At 39.5% G+C, this 9606-nt stretch overlaps 1 annotated feature.

Moving 5' to 3' along the window:
* Positions 7724-8463: an enhancer, noted in NCBI's record as "OCT4-NANOG hESC enhancer chr16:76257277-76258016 (GRCh37/hg19 assembly coordinates)". NCBI's record gives its function as "activates a minimal SCP1, AML or CMV promoter by ChIP-STARR-seq in naive and primed H9 embryonic stem cells {active_cell/tissue: H9 hESC(naive and primed)}" and the evidence as "EXISTENCE:reporter gene assay evidence [ECO:0000049][PMID:30033119]".

The raw sequence follows: 9606 nt of genomic DNA, 5'->3' as shown, positions 1-9606 counted from the left end.
AAAAAGAAACAATGGCCGGACGCGGTGTCTCACGCTTGTAATCCCAGCACTTTGGGAAGCTGAGGTGGGTGGATCACCTGAGGCCGGGAGTTCAAGACCAGCCTGACCAACATGGAGAAACCGCATGTCTACTACAAATGCCAAAAATTATCCGGGTGTGGTGGTGCATGCCTGTAATCCCAGCTACTCGGGAGGCTGAGGCAGGAGAATCACTTGAACCTGGGAGGCGGAGGTTGCAGTGAGCCGAGATCGCGCCATTGCACTCTGGCCTGGGCAACAAGAGCAGAACTCCATCTCAAAAATTAATTAATTAATTAATAAAATAAAATAAAATCCCACTCATTCCTGTAAATCTGGGTGACACCTTTTAACTAACTTTCTCTTGTCATCCCCAAGGATTAACCTCTACCGTCTCCACCATCTCCACCATCATCAGGACTCAGGTCATCTGTTTACAGCTCTCTCTGTGTCTGATAACTTTGACCCATGTTAGCTTGGAGCTCCAGGATCAGGGATCTTTCTGAGGTCAGCACAGTGCCATCACTTTACAGCCTTGTTCCCAGTTCCTCAGTCCACCACTGGGAGAAAGACTGACTGTGAGAGATAGACTTTATTGGTGGTTAAGGGAAATCTAAAAGAAATTACAGTATAAATGAAACTTAAAACCCTATCTTAATGTAATTGTTTACAGAGTTCAGGAGAAGAAAAAAGACCAAGTTCTTCCCACGATGTCTTCAAAAATGGCCCCCGTTGCTATTTCTCATTATCTTTGTTATTTACTAGTCACATACTCCTTGATGAAAACCATGATTTTGAAGCCCAGCAGTCTAAACCCTCATTCCTCTTTAGAAAAATTCAACTCCTACTGTCAGGGGTTAAGGTAATCCTACTATCTTTCTCCATCTTCTCCCCGAACCAGGACAGCTTAGTGGACACAATAGCTCAGCAGCAGCATGTTTTCCAGAGTCTGAGATATTATTTCAGAAATTGCACCACAGCTGGACTTGGGCAAGTGCTTCAGGATGGTTCAGAACAGGCCCCGACAGACTACATAATTATCTTTGAGTTCTTTGCCCATGAGAGGGGAAGACATGACTCTTTCTTCTTCCTGTAGTAGTCCAGCCTCTTTTTGTAGGTTACTCTGGAGGGGATGCATCCGAGTGCACGCGTGTGCACACAGACAGAGGTGCATTGTCCTACATTCATTCATTCAATGGCTATCTTTTGAGACCTCCCACATTTCAGCCACTGTGATAAGAAATATGTTTATAATAATAAGCAAAGCAGACTTGGAGCTTACAGTCATGTGAGAAAGGCAAGTCATGTCAAACACAAATCTTTACTAGTCAGTGTGATAAGCACAGCAAAGGAAAATTGTAAAGCATGCTGAAATTGCTCAGTTGAGGGTCCTGACCCAGTGTTGGGGTCAGAGAAGGTGTTACTGACGAAGTGACTCTGAATTTCTGTCTAAAGTCTAAGTATTGATTAAGTGAAAAAGGAAAACTTGTGACCAGAGGAAGCATGTCTTAAGGCTTAGAATTGGTCCAAATTGTACCAGACAGTGTAAGACTAAGACAAACCCATCACTCCTACAAAACATAATTCCAATAATATACTCATGATGGTGCATCAATAAAATTCTATTTAAACATGAAGGGTTATATTTTTTAGGTCCTGATGTGGCTAGATTTAAAAGTAAAAATATACATTTATATCTGAAAAGCTCATTCTTTCGACATTTTAATATCAGCCAGTGCCTAAGTTATCTTTGGAACCATTTTCCTTTGATCACAGAAGCCTCAATGGCACTTTATCTTCTGGCAAATAATAGAATGATTACATACATTTGCTTTAACCTTCTGAAATTGCTGGGAAAGAGCATATCTATAAATATACAGTGATAATTGATGGTCAAAATGCCAGTCTGGGTTTGAGCTCATTGAACAATTTTAGGCTCAAGAAAGAGAACAAGTTAAAATTTCTCTGAGCTTGTATTGCTTCTAAAGATTCTTTCCTTTATGCACTGTGATTTCTTAATGGGCTCTAGTGACACTGTTACACATTTATAATGTCTCTCTTCTGAGTAGTCAAAATGCAACCATTATGTTTTCTTAACCTATTAATGCAGTAATACTTGATTAAATGCATAGAGAAAATGAAAAATTCAAAAAATAAGTACTCCAAACAGTACAGAAGGCTCTTAAGTAAAAGTAAAATAAAGTCTCCCTTTCACCCTCAATCCTTAATCTCACTAGCAGAGTTTCCATACTATCAACTATAGTATATCTTACTTTTTTGTCCCTAACAATACTTCCTTTAACTCTTTCTATATAGCACACAAGAGTCTTCCCCATAGTATTCCATCCTCTGATTGCATTTAACTTGTTTATATTGGTGATCTTTTGGGTCTTTGTCTTTTGTTACTGTGACAGATCCTGCAGTACTAGATACAAACACTGCCATAAACAATACAAACACTTCTGCAAATATATGTGTATAATTGCATTAGTCCATTTTCACACGGCTGATGAAAACATATCTGAGACTGGGTAAGTTATAAAGAAAAAAGGTTTAATGGACTCACAGTTCCACATGGTTGAGGAGGCCTCACAATCATGGCAGAAGGCAAAAGGCACTTCTTACATGGTGGCAGACAAGAGAGAATGAGAGCCAAGGGAAAGGGGTTTCCTCTTATAAAACCATCAGATCTTGTGAGACTTATTGACTACCAGGAGAACAGTATGGGGGAAACCACCCCCATGACTGAATTATCTCCTACCATGTTCCTCCCACAACACATGGAAATTATGGGAGCTACAATTCAAGATGAGATTTGAGTGGGGACACAGCCAAACCATATCAATAATATTCTATTAATATTATTTTAATTAGGTAATTAACTTAGATATTAAATTAGATAAATTAAGAGTATTAATTGCCTAATATTCTTCAGATATTTAATTTTCTCCCCTACACGGCTAGGCACAACCATGCAACCTTTGTGTCCAGTGACATGGCCAGTGAAGATCTACAGTTTGATCTTCCTTGCTTTTCCTGTTCTGCCAAGATGACTCAGGAGTCTCAGTATTCCAGAATGTTCAGCTACAAGATTGTGGAGTTTCCGTCAGACTGGTTATGTGAACCAGGACTGGTTATGTGAACCAGGACCTTCCCCCAACTACTTAATTGAAACCTGCACTGGACCTCCAGCAGCAGTGAGAAATAACTTACCAGCTATCAAGAAAAGTTTTAATCTTTGTCATGATATTTTTTCCACTCAGCCTCCATGGGGTTCAAGCACTCACTCAATAGACAGCCTATACTGTAAATATAATTCTGCCCCTATAGCTCATGCTTATTTATGTAAATTGTTTCTCCTTATTTGGAAGACCAGGAAAATTTATGCTCAGAGCTTAAAAGTCTCCCAAGTAAAATAAAATTGGTATTGAAAATCTTGTATAAATCTTGTATGTGTATGTATAATATGCATTTCAACCATAGCTTTTATTATAAGGCGTTAGGTTTTGTGTGTGTATGTGGTTTGTTTGTTTGTTTGTTTGTCTAGACGGAGTTTTGCTCTTGTCGCCCAGGCTGGAGTGCAATGGCGTGATCTCGGCTCACCACAACCTCCGCCTCCCAGGTTCAAGCAATTCTCCTGTCTCAGCCTCCTGAGTAGCTGGGATGTACCACCATGCCCGGGTAATTTTGTATTTTTAGTAGAGATGAGATTTCTCCATGTTGATAAGGCTGGTCTCAAACTCCCTACCTCAGGTGATCCGCTGGCCTCGGCCTCCCAAAGTGCTGGGGTTACAGGCGTGAGCGACCACGCCTGGCTGTTTTGTTTTGGTTTTTTTTGCTGTATTCACCTTGCTTGTGATAGCCTGTGGATTGATATCTTAACCTGACCCCCAGTATTTCCCTCTTGGCATCTCACCTGAAGCCAAGAGATTGTCTGCTTCCATGCATAACTGAGATACATTTCCCTTGATTCCAACCACTTATTCCAATACTCTGTTGAAATTTCATGAACACTCCTTTGATTTATATGATAATATGAGCATCATTGACATAAGATACATGTGTGGTTATACTAGCATACATATTAGAACCTGCTTCCTTGGTGGGGGTGTCTCTACCATAAAACTTGTCTTCAGAGGCTACGTGCGGTGGCTCACGCCTGTAATCCCAACACATTGGGAGGCTGAAGCAGGCGAATCACAAGGTCAGGAGATCGAGACCATTCCTGGCTAACAGAGTGAAACCCCATCATTAATAAAAATACAAAAAATTAGCCGGGCGTGGTGGCAGGCGCCTGTAGTCCCAGCTGCTGAGGAGGCTGAGGCAGGAGAATGGTGTGAACCAAGGAGGCGGAGCTGGCAGTGAGCCGAGATCGCGCCACTGCACTCCAGCCTGGGTGACAGAATGAATGAGACTCCGTCTCAAAAAAAACAAAAAAACAAAAGCAACAACAACAACAAAAAACTTCGGAACCCATGTCACAGTGGTTAATTTCATATTTGTTTGCATCATTACGTAAGGATTCTATGACTCCCCTCTACTTCATGAGGGGCAGGGATCCATTTGTTTCATTTCTCTGCCCCCAGCCCAAACCCATGGAATAGCATCTGGCTCATTTTAGTTGTTCAACAAACATTTTTAGAATACTGTTTTTTGTTTAATTATAATGAGTGCTTTTATATTAACATAGTAATATTTGAAGCAATTTCTCTTCAAAAAAAAAAACTTGGAGCATAAATACATTATTTGAGAAGATTATTGTCCCTCTTAACTTTCCCTGATAGGGACTGCACCAAAATTTTGTTTCATATATTTAGTATTTAAATATGTTATGTTTTGTATGTTATTATATGTGCCTGTATACCCTGATAAAGATTGAATATACAAATGTGTAAACATACATACACACAAGCACGAATGTGTAAGTGAACTTTGTAAACTATTAAGTCAGTGGTTCTCACCAGGGACAATTTTGCCCCCTCCCCAGAAGACATTTTGGCAATTTCTGGAGACATTTTTGGCTGTCACAACCCATGGGGGGATAGCTACTAGTTTCTAGTGAGTAAAGATCAAGAATGCTCCAAACATCCTACCACACACCAGACAGCACCCCTCCCACCCACTTCAAAAGAATTATTCATCCCAAAGTGTTAGTAGTGCCAAATTGAGAAATCCTGACTTAAACGATGACCTTAAAATTTTAAATACAGAAATTGTGTAACGCATGTTTTTTCTGAGTTGACATGGGCGATATATGCCATTATTCAGGGCACATTATGTACTGATTTCTTTTGTTGCAACTGAAATGTTTAGCTTCATCAAACTGTTGCAGTCCTTACAGGCTAGATGTCATCCTTGAAGTTGGAGGAAAGTGAAATCAACCTGTCTTGATCACATAACTCTCTGGGCAAGGCCTCTCAACGCTGCCGCCTTGCTACGATACACGCAGCTCTACGTGATGCGCCAAATGTGGAGGACCCAGTATCCAGATCTGTAGGGTCCGCTGTTGGAAGACAGCGAATGTGAACTAATGCCTAATCCCAAAACCCACTATAAACTCTGCCTTTATAAATACTCGTTCACAGTGTGTTTATGTAAGGGCTTACTCATCTCCGGTATTAGCAGCAAGCATAATTCCCTTGTGTGCCCAGAATGGATAATGTGAAAGGTTAAACAGTATTTTCTATTCCCCACGGGAGGTGATCATCTTTATGATGCCCTAAGCTCCTCGATTAGCCTTTTACAAGGGAACAAAGTAAGCTGTTCTACGTGTGCCTCAAGCGGCAACTCTCTCAAAACAGATTTACCCAAAACACTTTGAAAACAGTTTTACCATTCCTTCACAACCTTGGAAAATTTAATAATTTAGAGGTCTGCACATTGACCATTGAAATATTTTGTCATTGATGTTTCCATTAAATTATAGTTGCTTGAAGTCAGCATGGGTTTGAAATTCTTTCCAGTGAATACTCCGATTTCTTTCACTCATTTATCAAGGATGTTTATTGACAGTTTGCATGAATAGAATCCTGCCTTTGGACATTATTTTTACAAGAAAGGAACAATCGTAACATTGACTACGATTCTTTGCGAGGGAAAAAGAAAGTTGCACATCAATAAAAAAATATATTTCTCATCAGCATTTCTTTTATGCACTAGAAAATTTTCTACTCAACTTACTTGTGAATTCAATGGAAGCACTATTAGACAAGCGAGATTTCAGATCCCATTGGTTAACTTGCTCCTGCCCTTTGACTGAGGCCTAATGACCAGGTTAGGAGGTTAGGGGAAGGGGAAGTCTGGGTTTTCTCAAACTTAGAACAGCACCTCACTTAAAGGTCTTATTTACCTCTTCCTCCCTCGAGTGGAACAATAGAAATGTGATGATAAATTGGAGACTGTGGGTTTTCAGCTAGATGTTTGATCAGAATTCAGAACATTTAATAGATATTGATTGAGCTTTACTATGTGTTTAATAATAAACTCCCTGTTAGGTGGCTACAAGAAGAAACATGTTTTTAGTGTGAAGAATAAAATGCTACATATTATTATAAATCTAAATGATTATATTATATTATTATTACCATTGTAAATGATAAATTAGTGTTAAGTAACCCTATGCTGTAGGGAGGAGTTGACATTTCAGCTGATAGTAGAACAAGAGAGGCAGGAAGAAATGGAAGAGAAGAAAGAGACCAACAGAGACCAAAATGCAGAAAAGCAATAGCCCTGGCACTGGGAATAGGGGAAATTTGGGCCTCTAGAGCCTTGCCAACCAACAGAAATATAACACGTACCATATATAATTTTAAAATTTCTAGTAGCCATATTATGAAAAATAAAGCAGATGAAATAATTTTAATATTTAACCCAATAGATTCAAAATACTATCATTTTTTAAAATTATTTTATTGTTTGTTTTTTAAGTTCCGGGGTACATGTGCAGGATATGCAGGTTTGTTACATAGGTAAACATGTGCCATGGTGGTTTGCCGTACCTATCAATACATCACCTAGGTATTAAGCCCAGCATGCATTAGCTGTTTTCATTAATGCTCTCTGCACATCCCCCGACCCTCCGCTGACAGGCCCCAGTGTGTGTTGTTCCCCATCCAGTGTCCATGTGTTCTCATTGCTCAGTGACCACTTATAAGTGAGAACATGGAGTATTTGGTTTTCTGTTCCTGAGTTAATTTGCTGAGGATAATGGCTTCCAGCTTCATCCATGTCCCTGCAAAGGACATGATCTTGTTCCTCTTAATACTATCATTTAAAAAAACAATCAATATAAAAATTCTTGGAGATATCTTTACATTATTTTTATCACATTAAGCTTCTGAAATTTAATGTGTATTTTGCAATTACAGCACTTCTCATTTTGGACTGGTCACATTTCAACAGTCAATAGTCACATGTGTCTACTACTGTATTGAACAGTGCAGCTCTAGAGTTTTGAACAAAAATGCCCAGGCTGTGAAAAACTGGAAACAAGCTGAACAATATGAACATGCATATCTCCACTCTGGACTCTGTCTGCAATGGAATATATCCAATAGGCAAAGGGATGCATGACTGCATTTTGTATTCTTTGGACTATTTGTGCACCTGTCTGACTTGCAGTAAGGTTGCTGGGTAATACGTTGCACCACTCCTGTCTTCTGTGGGTGGTGTGGGGGCCAAAGCTCTTGGTCCCCTAAAGGTTCACTAAAAATCACTGACATAAGGCAGATTGATTCACAGGAGAAAAGACATCCAAATTTACTTAATGCATATACTTGGGAGCCTTTAGAATGAAGACCCAACTTCCCAGTAAGTTACAGAAATTTATATACCATCCTGAGGCCACAGTAAAGAATGCAGATTCGGACCACGACCAGAAACAGGTAGACAGGTTAAGAGAGTGAAGAATGGAAGAAGCTTGGCTAGCAAACGTGTCCTTGATACGTAGATGATGCCTCCCTCAGAGATGATCGGTGGTAAATGTTTCTTTTCAGACTTTAAAAGGTGTCAAACTCTTAATCTCTCCTGGCACCTGGGAAAAGCATAGAAAGGGGAAGGACTCTGGCTGAATTAATGCAAATTCTCAACAGATGCAAATTTTCCCCGCCAAAGACAGCTTTACAAGGCCAAGTGTCAGGATGGCCAAGTGGCAGCATTTCAAAATATGTCAAAGAAATATATTTTGGAGTAAAATATTTCAATTTCCTTCACTGGAGTTACCTTCAGGAGATAAATGCCCAAACACCTTTAGAGCCTGGGGAGAGAGGCCCTGGGAGGAGGGACTGTGTCTTAGCTATTTCAGTGTTTGTCATAAGGGGCAGGCTAATGAATTTTGGTTCAGTAAATGATGATGGAATTCTACAAGCAGAAAAGAAATTAAGAACACAGATAGAAGATTACAGACTGGTGTGAAATATTTACATTCACTCATGTTTGTATGCTGCAGAATTTATATTCAAATATAAAATATGCAATGGATACATAATAGATGTAAACATTAATATTTGAAAATTAATACACACTTAACCAAGATGGCCTTAGAGTTGCCCCCTGCCCCCCCACCCCCCAGCTTGACTTAATTTTAGACAGACTTCTTCTTGACCACAGACCTCCCTATTCTTAGAGCAGTTACTTTAGAAAATGTCTAATTGTAAATTCTTTTCCTGCCCCTTTGAAATGTATGTAAATCTTCTCCCAGCCTCCTGACAGTTTTGCAATCTAGGCAATGTCTTTCTCAAGGACCTGGGAACCATCACTTTGAAATGTAAACACCGAAGGAGATAGCACTCCTATCTCCCAATCTCTGTGGGAGGGTAGCAGCCTAACTTTGATGGATGCCAATTAGCAAACACAGGTGGTCTAATCACAGAGAAAAACATTTGCAAACTCAGGAATAATTTATGTGCTCAACACATACCATTGATCAACTTCTCCCTTAACATCCACGGCTACTTTTCTACTTGCTCACCTTAGCCTTTAAAAACCCTCTCACCTTTGTTTCAGTGGAGTCACGTTCAGTCTGTCTCCCCTACTTCAATAGACTGAATAAAGCCTTCCTTCCTTTCCTGTTTTGCTTTATTTGGCACACTTGGTTACAGTATAATTTTCCTTGTTCCAAAAATAATGCAGGAAATAAAATAGAGCTAAGTAATAAGCATGAAGTATAGGATTTAAAGAAAAAAGAGAAAAATAAAGATTAAGACATATAATGGTGCCAGCCAAACTGCCTTGGAAAGTCTGAAAGAGGTGACTAAGAAAAAAAAAAAAAAGTCAGCTAAAACATGAGTTAGGATGTTATGAGCTAATTTAAGGCAACAGTATTTTTGTGGGAAAAATGAGTTAACAAATATTCCCCTGAAGTGTATAACCTTATTTATAAATTGAGAAGGTCCAGGCATCTCACTCCTTTTTAATCTGCCTAGGATGTCTTTCAATTTCTCAGGAATGTCCTAATTATATACATACCCTGTCATCTTGTGACTTCCTCACTATGTCCCTTTCACTCCGATTGTACCATGTGCTATTTGCTTTCCTGGCTGTCCGTGAGCATTCTGACCTGGACTTTGGGGGTTGACCTCTAGCCTTCTA

The sequence above is a fragment of the Homo sapiens genome, chromosome 16 (genome assembly GCF_000001405.40).
Source record: "Homo sapiens chromosome 16, GRCh38.p14 Primary Assembly".
Taxonomy (NCBI): domain Eukaryota; kingdom Metazoa; phylum Chordata; class Mammalia; order Primates; family Hominidae; genus Homo; species Homo sapiens.
The sequence above is the reverse complement of the archived record's forward strand: the minus strand, read 5'-3'. Positions and strand labels throughout refer to the sequence as shown.